The sequence below is a fragment of the Homo sapiens genome, chromosome 13 (genome assembly GCF_000001405.40).
Source record: "Homo sapiens chromosome 13, GRCh38.p14 Primary Assembly".
Lineage (NCBI taxonomy): Eukaryota > Metazoa > Chordata > Mammalia > Primates > Hominidae > Homo > Homo sapiens.
This window is the reverse complement of record NC_000013.11, coordinates 44,227,761-44,242,779: the sequence shown is the minus strand read 5'-3', so window position 1 is coordinate 44,242,779 and position 15,019 is coordinate 44,227,761. Positions and strand designations below refer to the sequence as shown.

The window sequence follows — 15,019 nt, the reverse complement described above, 5'->3', positions numbered from 1 at the left end:
TGTTGAGTCTAGAGGAGGCAAGAGTGAACTAAGAATTAGCTTTGATTATAGGCAGAAAAACTGTGCATAAATTAGTGGTCATTTCTACTGAAAATATGGTGTGGGTTGGATTCTTGCTTCCATGGCTGCCCGAGGATTTTGCTCCAGTGTGCTGGCCTGTCTGGGTTATTGCATTATTCTTATTCATGAGGTGGTGGGTCTCCTTCCTTGGAGATTTGCATGAATGGAAATGACATCCTCCCAGATGGAATGGTTTAGGGAAAGTCTTCACGACACATATGTTTCTTCCCTTCAGTTTGCACTGCCCAACATCCCAGCTTGACCCTTATGTCTGAATCAGTTTAGCAGCCTCTTGACTAGTATACAGATGTTCCATCTCTGCCTCCTTCAGTCCACTCTGCCTATGGAGGTCCCACTTATCTTCCTTAAATTCATCTTGGATAATGGCAATGTCCTGCTAAAAATATGTTGATGCCTATTTATTTATTCATCCAACAAATACTGAGCACCTATTGTCTTGAGCACCGATTATGTGCCTGCTGCTTACTCCCGGGCATACAACATGGCACAAAGTGTAGTAGGGCCTCATCAAGGCATTCACTCAGCCTTCCTGTCCTTGTCCTGGAACCTTTTAAGGCCTCATCATCTGCTTTTAACAGATCTTTCTGACCTTTTGCCCACACAAAACCTTTTCTTCCAGCCTAGCCCATTCACCATGATAACCCACCTGGTGTCTTTCTTGTCACCCCAACTTCTGGATAGACTATCCTTATTCGGAGCCCATCTCTCCTGTGAAGCTAACACAAGTCTCCTTGCCTTTAGGAGGATTTCCATGGCCGCTTGGGTTTTAGAATTCTCTAGCACCTCTGTCCCCACAGTGTTTCTTCCTTAGCACTGGGTATGTTCTTCCTGAGTGGAGAGAACTGGCAGCTGCTGTGCCTGCCCTGACCTCCTGTGGCCTCACTCGCCGTGGACAAGTCCTGAGAGAGCTGGAACCTGTGGACATTCTTTCCCTGTCCGTGCTCTGCTGTGGATGATGACAGGGGCAGCTCAGGTGTTTGCTGGGGCTTCCAGAGCATTTGACACCATTAAGAAGACGGAGAGTATACTGAATGTCTAAACTTAAAGGGGGAGAGGCTTTGGGGATCATTTAATAAAACGACCTTGTTTTGCAGATATGGAAACTGAGAACCAGAGAAACTGATTTACCCAAAACCACAAGGTGACGTAGTAGCAGAGTCAAATCTTGTCCACTGTTAAGTTTAGCCTAAAGCTCCCTCCTTATATATTTTAAGTTCATCCTAAAGGTTTCTTCATACATAGTGAGCTGTAACCTAATGGATGTGTGAACAGACTGTAACTTGCTGTTGTGCCAATCATCAAGTTTTGGCCAGTCAAGGCCGTCCAACTGTTTAAATGGTGTTCAATAAGGTAAACACTGAGCTGTGATCAATCTGGCTGTTTCTGTACCTCAATTCTGTTTTCTGTGCATCACTTTCCTTTTTCTGTCCATAAATCTTCTTTGTCACCGTGGCAGCAACAGAGTCCCTCTGAACCTATTCTGGTTCTGGGGCTACCAAGTCATGAATTATTCTTTGCTCAAGTAAACTCTGTTAAATTTAATTTGTCTAAGATTTTTCTTTTAACTAAACTATCCTGTCTCCATATAGTTCAGCAGTTGGAATCCTAAGGAACCTAACATTTCAGGACACACGTAAAACAAATAGAAAGTGTATTAATTTCCTATTGTGCTTGTGACAGATAACCATAGATTTAGTGGCTTACACAAGACAGATTTATTATCTTGCAGTCTGTAGGTCAGAAGTCTAACATGGGTCTTACCAGGCTGAATTCAAAGTGTTGACAGTGCTGTGTTCCTTTCTGGGGGCCCCAGGGAAGAATCTGTGTTTCTACCTTCTCTACTTTCTACAGGCTGCTGGTACCCCTTGTGGCTCCTTCTTCCATCTCCCAGGCCAGCAATGTCAGGCTGAGCTTTTCTCACATTGTCTCATGGACTGACCTAATCTTCTGCCTCCTCCTTCTATTTTTAAAGACCCTTGTGATTACATTGGGCCCATCTGGATAATCCAGGATAATCTCCCATTTTAAGTCATTGTAATAGCAATCTCAATTCCCCTTTGGCCATACAACATTACATATTCATGGGTTCCAGGGATTAGGATGTGAGTATCTCTGGGCAGCCATTATTCTACCTACTACAGGAAAGAGGAAAATGAGGACAAAAACTCCACACACTCTCTCTTGCTTTCTCAATTTCTTTAATTCTCTATGAGGAGAAACAGTTAATTTGAAGATGTTCTAGACCTCTATATTCAACCTCAGGATTTTGTTCTGAGTCATGATCTGGTGAATTTGGTCAAGACACGAAGGAAAGGAATAAAGATGCCAAAACATACAGAAAAGAGGCTCACAAATGTTGACTAAGAGGGTTTAAGAACTAAGAGGAGACCCTCTAGTTTTTGTTTGTTTGTTCTTTTGTTTTTTGAAACTGAGTCTCACTCTGTTGCCCAGGCTGGAGTGCTGTGGTGCAAACTTGGCTCACTGCAACCTCCGCCTCCCAGGTTCAAGCAATTCTCCTGCCTCAGCCTCCTGAGTAGCTGGGATTACAGGTGCATGCCATCACCCCTGGCTAATTTTTGTATTTTTAGTAGAGACGGGGTTTCGCCATGTTGGTCAGGCTGGACTCGAACTCCTGACCTCAAGTGATCCACCCACCTTGGCCTCCCAAAGTTCTGGGATTACAGGCGTGAGCCACCATGCCCAGCTGACTCTCTAGTTTCTAATGGCTTGAGAATTCCCCTCTTTAAGGGTATGGGCTTAATTTGCAAAAGGTGAGTTGATGTGAGACATCTAGATGGAACGCCCAACTTCAAGGCCTATTGGTCAGTAAAATCAGCTAATAAGAGTGGAGGGAGTGGGGGAATGTCCCAGAAAATTTAAGGAAGGAATCAACTAATTTCAAGTTGGAAGGGTTTTACGGACTCATGATCTCACAGAGTCTAAAGGACCTTAGGAACTTCCTTGTCCAGCCTCACACCAAACGCAAGACGGCCATAGATCTTCACCCTTTTTTGTGAGGCTCTGGTTAGGGGTAGGAAATCATCTAGATTCCCTTAGATCTTCTCTAATTCTCTGAGTCCATCACAAATTTCATCTCTAATTAATTATTGGTATTGATGGAAAAATCAGGCAAACGATTCTTTCTGATTTTTTCTCTGCCAGAACACTAGGATGTTGATTGTTACTATATCTTCGTGTGGAGGGTCTAAGATCTCCTAGGCCACATGTAGTATTTAATCCTCACTTATGAGACTGTGAGGACAGGGAGAGAGATCCGAGGGAGGAAATATCTGCTAGCAGACTTGGTGGCCTTCACGGAGGTCTCCTCCTCAGATGTTGTAGTGGCTGTTGTTCAATCTGCCTAGCACCCCTCTCCCACCTCTTCTGGTAACAGACCCAGTTCCTTTAGCTGCTTAGGGGGAACATGTCATAGTGAATGGGCCAATCCACATAATTCCTAGAGGAACTTTTCAATCCTTGTGGGTTGGGAGATGCCTATCTACTCAGGTCACAAGCTTCGGGGAAGTACACGTTGCTGATGGCCACATCCCCACCTTATGGAGAGTGAGCAGGTCTGGGAAGACGGCATCAGACAGGAGCACAAAGGAGAGGGAGGGAGTCCTGAGGGTGTTTTCAGGTCCCTCAGTCCACCATCCTTCGTTATGGTTCAGTTACATGAACAAATACATTTCCCTTTCAGGCTTAAGCTAGTTTAAGATGTATTTCTTCTATTGGCAACCCATGAGTCCTGAGTAATTTAGAATTTTTCATTCTCAGTTTTCCTGCTTTCTAGAGAGTTGGAAGAATGAACTAAAGATCAGAAACTTTTCTTCTCAGAGTCCAACTGGTCCATGATGGTTTGGGGAAGAACCTGCAGAAAGAGAGGGCAGGAAATTAGCAAGGTGAGAAATCACAAAGGTTCTTATATACAGGATCCAGTTGGTGAATTGCAGGGTCCTGTTATCTTTGCTCCTTTTTAGATCTCCACTTGCCTAAAATAAATCATGACCCTACACTTTCAAAGATCCAGGCCAACCTTGGGGCCCCAAGGTGAGTTTTTTTCTGTCTTGTGAAACTGGTGCTACTTGTGTGGTGTAAATCAGAGGGTTAGCAAGTATTCAGTGGATTTGCTGGTAAGCCCAACCTTTTGACAAAAGAGGGGGAAGAAAGAAATAAAAGTAGGGGTGGGGGAAGTAAGCTAGAAGAATAAGGAGAGAGATAGAGATGTGACTCCATCAACAAAATACTGATTGAGTATCTTCTACGTGTAAGACTGTGCTAGTTTCAACTTGCCATTCTAAATCAACAAATAGAACCCTTATTTGTGACTACAGAGGCTGAGAGTTAGGTGTGTCTGGTGTAAGACAGATGCACACCCAGGTATGACCAGCAAGCAGCAAAGTCAATAGGCAATTACTCAGGAAGGCTGTTATGGAAGGAATGAGAATGAATGGGCCCACGCTGACTTAGAAATTAAGTTAAAACATATGGCAAATGTTTTTCTGATATGCACTTAAAGCCTGGAACAGTCCAAGAGGCCCTGGGTTTCCCTGAGAGGGAGGCTTTTAGGAAGAGTGTAGGCTGCCTGTGGCTGCTGCACCTAACTGGATTACAGGCCTCTGTGACGCTGCCCATCACATCTGCTTTTCAGTAATGCCGTAGGGGAGGCAAGCTGTCCCCTTAGACCCTTAGCATGATCTGTCTATGGGTTTCACATTTTTTCCTGGCAGAGTTAGTTTTTCGTGTTTGTTTTGTGAAGAAAAACTTTGTATACTTCTTTCCTTTTTTTTCCTTTGCAATAAAGTGTTGAACAAAATGTATACTATTTTGTCCAAACTTTTTAAGCTTCCAGATTTGGATATGGTGTTTATGTCTGTGGCTTTTAGAAAGTCTGAATGGATCTGAAAGGTCAGAAAATACCTAAACATTTGACTCTACCCTTCAGCTCACACGTGATTGGCTGTGCATTGTTTTATTTTTAAAAATGGTAAATGAGAAACTATTCTTTAGTCATATCTTGTTCTCAGAGCCTTTCCCCCTCTTGCAGACTGTGCCGCCACCCAAAAGCTTGAAAACACCCCAGGAAGCCATCCCCTCATTGTGAAATGACTAATCACCACACACCACTTGGTTTTCCTTCCTGGACGTCATAGGCCATAGCCCTGTAGTTCCCACATTGTCTCTGTCATCATCCCAAGGAGTGTGACTCTTGATTCTGAGCCTGGGCAGGACAGCCTGTCTCAGCACAGGCTGTTATATAAGCGGCTGTGGGGAGAGCTGGCAATAAACAAACATTTTTCCAGCCCTTGTTTTCTCTGCAGCCTTGAAAAATATTTTTCTGGGGCTGCTGCTGTGCTCCTGCAACAGGATGGCAAATTCCCAGCTTAGAAATGTCTTGCTCTGCATTTCCAGATTCTAAAATCAGAACAAAGTGAACCAGCATGTTCAAAGGAACTGAAATTTTGAGAGCCAGGACACATAGATGGGTTTCTCGACAAGCGGCTTTGCAGCAGTCTTTCCAAAGTTTCATCCACACATCCTGACGGCGAGTAACCATTGGGAAATTACATGGTGACTTTAGGGCCACAGAGAGGAGAATCAGAAGATGACAGGAACTCACTTGGGAATGGAGAAGTGATGTTATGGCTGCCAGTGTCAAAGTCAGACCCACTGTATAAACACAGACATTCACACATATGAGAACCATGGGACTGAACATTGGTAAAGTCCGTTCCTCCTTGGGCCACTCCATCTTGGAAACTCAAAGGAGGAACACTTTACAGTAGTGTTCCACACACTCTACCTCTAACTCCCAGTACTGAATTTAGTGGAAGTCCAACCACAGTTCCTCCCACCCAAACAGACAGTTCCTTGTGAGTGTCTCAGAGGGACACTTAGACAGGACAGCCTCCTCATTCACTGGTGAAAGATTTTCCAGAGCCAAAGCTCTTGCTTCCATGGCTGTCACCTGTAAGGGTTGCTGGTACCAGCTGCTTTTCTGAAGCCACTGCACCCTCCCCATTCCCCTGCAGTAGTCTCCATTGTGAGACCTCAGCCAGAGTGACCTTGTGCTCTATTTCCCTTCAATGGCTGATGTTCTGGTGTCACTCCCTGTGCTGAAAGCCAAGCTGATTTCTCCACATCTCTGAGTAATTCAGATCATTTTACAATGAATTAGCAAGTGAGTTTGTTATTGCAGTGCGGAGGAGGAGGGATGGGAAGCACTTTCAGAGTTTCTTTTAGTTTTCCCTGAGTCTACTGAGACCCCTGAAAGAAAACTTACTGCCTGTAGCTTGGAAATGTTGCTGTGTATCCAAGAAGCTGCCACTCTGCTCATTGGCAAGGCTACATCTATGGCTATATCAATCCACCTTTCTCATCATTGTCCTCATACCGTGGAACTAGGACAGAGTCACCCAGAAGGAAGCATGGGTACTGTAGTTTATCCAAGGTCACTAGGCTAGTCTTTTGGTCCTGTGTAGCTAGGATTGGCTGCGTAATATGTAGGGTGCAGTGCAAAATAAAAATGTCAGGCCTCTGTTGAAAAATTATTAATAATTTCTAAATGGCAACAGGTGAGCATCAAACCAAACTCAGGCCCTATACAATCATACAAGTCATGTGCTTATGAAGCCAAAGCCATTCTCAGCATAGCTTTTATTTGAAGCCTCTAGTTTTCACAGTGGAGTGGCTAAAAGAGGTAAGTTCTTTGAGGGTTGTGCAAGAAAGTTTAGGAAGGAGAGATGACAGCTGGCTGCTTTTAGCAGGACATTCTTTGTAAGTGGGTAGCACCTGTGGGTCACTATGAAAAACAGGCGCCATCCAAAGTACTTTCCATATGTTAAATCATTTCATATACATACATACACATGAATAATGTGTATCTATTAAATCGTGAATCCTCACAACAACCATTTAAAGTGGGTGCTGTTGTTTTTCTATGCTTTTATAGGTAAGGAAACCGAGGCACAATAGAGTTAAATGAAATGCTGATTTAAAGTTTGGTTCTCAACTTTCTAATAGAAACCCTCTATTGTTGAAGTGAACTTGGAGCTTACTAGACCATGAGGGACTGAATCATGCTAAACTCACAGAAAATTGATGTATATGCAACAAAACAAATTTATTCCTATAAAATGAGAGGCACTACCGTCCCAGTAACTGAGATATTTATTTCTATGACCCAAGATACCCCTTTTGAGTATTAAGGTGCCTGGGGTGACTGAAGTAACAGTCAGAAGCTTGCTCAGTGATCACAGAATCAAAACAAAGCGAATTGCAAAATCTCAGGGGAGATGCTGACCAAACAGATAGAGTCTGAGAAATCATCCCTGTGCTTAATACTTTTCTTCCTGGTGGATGAAGTACTCTTGTCTGCTAAATACAGGGTCTTAATTCATGCATGGTGTTTAGTTCTCCTTTGCAGGAGTCATCCCCACCACCTCATGTCAAGTCAGTTACAGCACAACTGAATATGCTGCCCCCTTCTTAATGTTGCTGTGCTCTGGTCTGGGGTGTGATCCCAAACATCATGATCCCAGCAGTAGCTGGTTTACAAACCAACTCTGAGGATGCCACATCCATAGAAAACCTGTCGTTTTCTTCTGGTTTCCACTTCAAAGTGTGAACTGAATCTGGGCCACCATGTGCTCCCTAAACTTAGCATTTAAGTAGCTCTGATGAGCAGAATGTTAATGTGTTAAAATGAGATTATGTTCGTTCCCTTACAAATTTAGGATAAAGATGCTAGGCTGGCCCTTTGAAGGTAAATTAACTCCTCAGAAGCACCTGCTTGTGTGGCATTAAGTAATCAAACAACAAAACTACACTTGGATGGGTTTAAAGTGGGACTGAAAAAGTAGACAAAAAGTAGATGACTTTTGCATCATCAGGGAATTGATTTTTTGCTTTGTTTGTAACTCTCCACTTGAAAGTTGTCTTTTTCCTGCCAAATTCAGGGTGATTCATAAAACCATCTTCTCTTAATGTGAAGAGAAATTGCTGGAGGTTGTTTTGAAGGGCATCTTTGGGAACCACCTTAACAAGTAGCTGAATAAGGAAGAGGAGGATGATGATCGCTGACATAAAAAATGCTTACTATATAGGTGGCAGGCATTGTGCTAACTGGATTAAATATTATTTTTTAACAACCCTATGAGACTATTCTCATTGTACTGAGAGAAAACGGATTTGGGGCCAGCAATGGTGAGAGAAAATGGTGATGATTCTTAAACTCTGAACTTCAAGCATTAAGAATTGGCTGCAATAGAAAACTGGTCCTAGATGGTCCCAAGTGGCCCATCATGAGCCAGATACTAGTGGGGGATATAGGGAGGACCAGAGGCCACAGAGAACCACGTGATGAATGTAGAAGAAAGAGGGTTTTAAAAGGGCCAGGGCAGAGGTGTTCCTGTAGGATTAGGCACACATAGACCAAGCTCTCCTGAGATCCCTCACTGAGAAGGAATTGGAAAGAACACCAGAATCATGTACTCCCTAGTTCGATGTGGATATTAATTGTAACTGATTATGTGTATACATTTATGCTGAAGTTAACTGTGAGTAAATTGGTTGTATGTCATTCCTTGGTGTGTATTTTGCCTTTCCTATTCTTTTTTGTTCCATTATAAACTCGGGTTGCTAGAACCTCATACGATCCTGTGAGAGGTGGGAGTTAGCTGGTCACTCAGTCTTCTCCTCTTTCCTGGGAGGTGGTGGTTTAATCATATCCATTTGTAAAAGGGGAAATGGTGGCTCAGAGGTCCTCAGTAATTTCTACAGCTAGATAATTCATGGGTGCAGAGTTCAGATCTGGGGTTCAGACCCCTACAGTGTGTGTGGCAGGGAGTCTAGGCAAACAGCAACTCTCACCCGCAAGCACCCAACAAGGTTTGTCCTTGTTTTCAGTGGGCCTCCTACTTCCCTGAAAGGTCTAATCTCAGCAACACAGTCTCATTTAGCTTATTGTTTTGGCTATTTATGTGCAATAACTGTGAAAAGCAAGAAGATGGGTTGCAATTTCCTTACCTACTTGTTATGTTCAAATCAGCTCTTTGAAAGCAGAGTCAAGATACAATAATAGTAATAATAACAATAATCATTTATAGTTAAAGCATGGAATCGAATGGTGCTTCCATAGCATCCATGTGTGTCAGGTGCTCTTTTAAGCAAGTTACATTCATTCAGTTTGTCCCACATCTTCATAAAACAAGGGGTGAATTGTATGAGGAAAAGGATGCTAGAATTTCAATTTTGTCTTGCTCCATTCCATCTCTGAACTTCTCAAAATGAATTTTAGCAAGGCCTGACCTATATAGAAATCTGTTTCTTATACATGGCTCCAAAAATGGTCCTACTCTGAAGTCTGCATTTTTGGCAATGGGAGGTGCCAGACAAGAAGTGAGGGTCTGAGGCCCACCCTGGACTCCTCCAGGCCTAGTCATCCTGGTGTGTTTCTCAGAATCTATGGTTCCTTCTCTCCTCCCTCCTCTTTTGCTTTCTTCCTGCCACAAAATCTCTTTTTTTCATCGTGAAGAGCCACATGCCAATTACTTTATACAGCAACACCCCATCCTCCTCTAGCTCTCCAGGGTCCAGGCTCTTGGGGCCCTCATACATGTTCCCACACCCTGGAAGGGTAGAGACCCCTCCGCCTCCTGGTGCCAGCAGAAGGGTGGGAGACCTACGTGCAGTCAAGTGGAGAATTTGTCTCCCAGGGCCCAAAGAGACATTCAACACCAAGCTCTGTGCGGCAATTCCCCTCATAAATCTCAGCTCTAACTACAAATTATTTACACTATCCAGTTTCACTTCCTTCTTCTCTCCCATCGGATTCAAAGGATTTTAGACTTCAGAAAAACATTGAGTCTGAATTAAACATCGGCATGAACTTGATCAACTTTAAGTCTCTCATTTCACATCAGAAGCCAGGAGTTGGGAGTGGCGGGGGCAGGGATCAGAAGATATCTACAGACAAAAAGACATTTATAAAGCAATATAGTATTAAAGATGGAAAAGCCCACATGAAAAACGCAGAGGCCAGCCCACCTCCCTGTGACACTATTGCCCTTAATCATGGTACTGGGATGGTATATCTCCAGAAGTTTGAAACAGGAAACAAATAATATTTCAAAGTTTCCAGCAAGAAAGTAATGACAGCTTTGGAGAGCAGCTGCAGCCACTTTCTTCCATTAAGCCTTTGTCCCTCCCCTTGGCCTTGGCAGTGGGTCTAGGGCGCCATGCGATCCCTACAGCTTTCATTACACCCAGTTCAAGAACCTGCTTGCAAGCGTCTCCTTGCCCAGCACACAAACAAACTTTAAATGATAAAGGAAAACACTGGCAGCATGTTCCTGTGTTCTGAGGCAGGCCTGGGGCGGGGCTTTCCCAGAGTTTGTTGTGAGAGACAACCTGCTCTCCCACCAGGTGGAGAGGAGCCTGGACCAAGGTTGAAAAGCCATGAGTCAGGCCTAGAGAATTTCAGTTGCAACACCCTCTTGTAAGAGGCTGTTTAGTCATAGCTGTTGCTTTCAATGAAAAGGTCACCCACTCCATAGTGAATGGTTATTTGCTGGCTGCTTCTCACACTGTTGCAATTGTGATCCTTTTGCATCTTTGATTGTCTTTCATCGGAAAACTATGACATGCTTCATTTTGTTTCCCAGGGTGGTAGCCACAGTCGGCGGTCAGTTGGCGAGCTGGCTACATTCGATGGTATGCAAACAACTCGGTGGCAGCTTAAAGGGTGGGGTAGGCAGTGTGGCCCTCAATGTGCAGTTCGAGTTTCCCAAGTTGAAGGCTCACAGAGTGATTGGAAACCAGGAGAAAAATTACTGTGGTCTGAGCAGGGAAGGAAGAAAGGTCCTGGACACTCGGCTTCTAGAGAGATCCACGTGCGCCATGCCGCAACTGCATTCAGTGTCTTCCAGCTTCCAACTTGTTGTCAGCCTTCAGAGTGACTGACCCGGGGAGATCAGCTGGGAGCCCCCTTACGACCTGTCAGCATGCGCCCCGAGAAGACACCTTGGTCAAGCGTCTCTCAGCCTGGTCACACTTGCTGGCTTTTTTCATTATGGTCATGGCTAAGAGGGAAGAGGAGAGTTGCCAAATTTGACCTATACTTCGACATTATAATTTAGCCCATTCATTTTCCTCTTGAGGATAAATGTTAAAAGTCCAATTTATGGGAGGCCAAGGCGAGCGGTTCATGAGATCCAGAGATCGAGACCATCCTGGCTAACACAGTGAAACCCAGTCTCTACTAAAAATATAAAAAATTAGCCGGGCGTGGTGGTGGGCGCCTGTAGTTCCAGCTACTTGGGAGGCTGAGGCAGGAGAATGGCATGAACCAGGGAGGCAGAGCTTGCAGTGAGCCAAGATCTTGTCACGGCACTCCAGCCTGGGCTGCAGAGCGAGACTCTGTCTCAAACAAACAAACAAACAAAAAGTCCAATTTGTTGGAGAATTTTTTAGGAGGGATGAAGGGAATGGGGGATTGGAAGATAGGAAGTCAAATGCGCTCTAATCTTTTCTTGCTTTTTTCTATGCTTTTTCTATGTGGGACTTGTTGAATGTTTATTGCAAGCTCTTTAATGACCAGAAGCACATCATTTGTATCTATATTCAGGAGCCAGCCCGGTCTCCTGGGGCATGCGGCTGATCAACTGTGGGGACCTCGCTTAAGAAAAGTAAATATTTATTCAGAATAAGGAAAGAAACCAAAATAAATTACAGATTTTAAAATGCTGACAAATACCACAAACATCACAAAAATCTGGAAACATAGCATACTGTTTTTATTAACTTCCTGACATACCTCTGTATGACATGCTTCCATTGTTCTCTTCACACCGTTTTGGCTACACACTCTTTAATGGCCTCTTCATAGGACGACAATTTTAAAGAAGAAATGATAGAAAGATAATGCAGTCTTCTCTGATCAGCCCGTCTAACATGGCTGATCCAAAGAAATTCTTTTACATTTTAAATTCAATACATAAACATGTGACTGACATAAGGCCAATCTGCTATCGCTAGTGCCACTATATTTTTGTGCCCTGAAGAGACAGAGAGAATTATCCTTTTGAATACATGTTCCTGAAAATTCAAATCTCTGCTTGTAATTTTGATGACTGGAGAAATTCCCACAGACCAGTACCTGCCTCCAAAATCTTGAACCTTGATCCTCCATTTCCCACATATTTTCAGGGCCAGATTCTGCACAGCAACACATTTATATCATGATATGACTTCTGTCCATGTGCCTCCAAATCGTGATGCTGGTTAAGTTGACACGAGTTATAGGAGTATTTTTAGAAGCAATTCCTACACCACCATGTTAGCAATAACTTAACTATATACAGAGGTGACTGTGAACCGTGTAAACACTGTTTATCCTCTAAGCCCAAACTAAACATATCTCCATCTCAACTTGGCCTCAGCAGAATTCCAAAAATGCTGTAGTGGCGACTCCAAAGCAACCCTACGCAAGGGACTTGCCAGTGTGTGGAGAGGACGTCACAGTGGAAGAGATAGCCTTAGCTGATTACAGTTAAAATATTTCAGCCTTAGCTGATTACAGTTAAAATATTACGAACTTTTGCAAAGTTCATAAAACTCATGTGACCATGGGCTCTGGAGCTTAGACTTCATTAACTTCAAGGTGAATTTTCCTCTGCTTGTATCCATTTGCAAACCTAGTTTGGCTCTCAATCAATAATTGTTAATTGAAGGAATGGAGAAATTAATCTGTAAAAGACAATGCAGATGGATGGATGGACACATCAAAGGCAAGGCTGCTGCCGGCCATGCGTGTGTGCCGACGGCATCTCCACCCCAGTGGGGCCCCAGGGACGAAGCCGGTTGGCCAGCCACAAAGCCCTCCAGGGAGACCTGTTTTTCAGATTATGACAGTTTTTAGAAGTACAGATTATCTTGGCTGATAGTGAAGATGAGAGGGCAGCCCGAATATGATAGAGAAAAAGAGAATGAGAGGTTAGGTAGGGAGTGGGGCAGGAAGGATCAAAACAACTTTTCTTCCAAATGAAGCCATCAGTTCTCCCCCAAGCAATGGCAATTCCATGCACAGGTCCTAGGAGAGCATGTCACAGGTCACTTGTGGGCACGTAAAACACAAAAGGTTTCTGAAGTGACCCACCAGTGACAGCCATCTGCTGGCTCTAGGGAGAATTCATTGCATAATCTGAGGATTCGTCTATGTGTTCCTAGGACGTTTCTATGGTTAGCTCTTTTTCTGAATGAGAAAACACGTTGGTAGGGGGCAGGAATGGAGTGTGTTCTGTGTGACTGATTTGTGAACTTCAGGAGATCTGTTGCAGAGCTAGGGCAAAACCTCATATTCTCCATATCCTTGTCCGCTAGGGCACTGATATTCTCTTGTTCATTCATTGATTCAACAACTGTGTATTGACTGTGTATTGTTAGCGACTACATGCCAGGCACTCCTTTGGAGCCAGAGATACAGCAGGGGACAGGACCAGCAAAGCCCTGCCCTCATGGAGCTTCTATTAGTCAGGGAAGAAATAGTGCATTAACAAACAAATAATGCACTCCAGTTCCAGAGGGTGTTAAATGCCATGGAGACAATGAAACAGGGCTGGGATGGGGGTTTGTGGAGGTGCATCTTCAGGAGTGTCCTCCCTTTCAAGGAGCTGCCACTTGGGGCTGGAGTGGTGAGAAGGAGGCAGCTGTGTGGGCATCTGGGCAGGAGTGTCCCTTTCCAAAAGGAAAAGCAACACCAGACATGGAGGCCAGAGACCAAGAGGAGCTGGCACGGCAGAGGGACAGAGAGCATGCCAGTGTGTCTGCCGTGAAGTAAAAGAGGCTGGAAGGAGATGGGCTTCATAGATTATAGTGAGGATGATAGATTTGTACAAATTAGCCTATCTGTTTAGCCAAATTAACTCTCTGCTTTCACAATGCATTCCACATACCCAGAAAGGTACGCAGAAAGTGACCATGGTGAATGTAAAGACCACCAAAACAGTTCCAGAAGCAGGTCTAGGGACTTATAAGCATGATGGAGGGAGTCTGCCATCCCTAAAGAAAGAATGGATGAAGTGAATGGGTCTCACATAATCTTATTCGGGCATGTGCCAAGCCACCCAAGACAGTGGGCTGGCACCAACTATGAAGAAATAATCTTCTTTACAGTTATAAAGACTTCCCTGGTTCCTGTGGATGAATAGACAAGTAGGATAAGAGAGGTAGCAGTGAGGCCAATTAGAAGGTTATGGCAATAGTTCAGGCCAGAGATGGTGGTCTATGGTCATACTTGCAGGGACATATGTTGCAGGTAGAGCTAGGAAGTCTTGCTAAACAACTGAATGAGGGTGTAGGAAAGTAGGGAATAGATTAGACTAATGTTGTCATTTGCTGAGAGAGGAAAGATGAGAGGAATAGAATTTTGGTGGGAAGATAAAAAGTTCTATTTGGCTGTGTTGTTTTTGACACTTAACGGTGTATTTAATAGGACACTGGACAGAAGAATCTGGAGCCTAAGGAGGAGGTTAGGGCTGTGTTTATTTTTTCTCAGTTTTATTAGCCCCATTGATGCTTCAGCAATGTCGTGAGCAAGCAGGCAAATATATGGTTCAAATTTTACCAGTGCCACCATGACAGGATGACTGACTAGATGTTCACCAGAAGTTCTTGCTCCCTAAAGAAGAGTTGTTGCTGGAAACAGCTGCCCCCTCAGACTAATTTCTCAACCCCTCTTGCATTTGGGCAGGAGTTTCATGACTATATTGATCCAGGTCAAGACATTTACAAAGTGGCTCAGTCTTATCAATTCCCTCTCTTATAGTTTAGCTGGCTACGTACAGAAGATGACACATCCCTTGGGCAGCGTTTCTCAACCTTAGCACCAATGACATTTTGGACCAAAAAAATACTTTGTCGTAGGGGCCATCCTGTGTAC

The 15,019-nt window shown here is 43.9% G+C and overlaps 1 annotated feature.

Annotated features, from left to right (window-relative positions):
* Positions 9,994-11,193: an enhancer, noted in NCBI's record as "BRD4-independent group 4 enhancer chr13:44805723-44806922 (GRCh37/hg19 assembly coordinates)". NCBI's record gives its function as "activates an origin of replication core promoter dependent on BRD2, P300/CBP, MED14 and CDK7 cofactors, and independent of BRD4, by STARR-seq in HCT116 cells {active_cell/tissue: HCT116}" and the evidence as "EXISTENCE:reporter gene assay evidence [ECO:0000049][PMID:35650434]".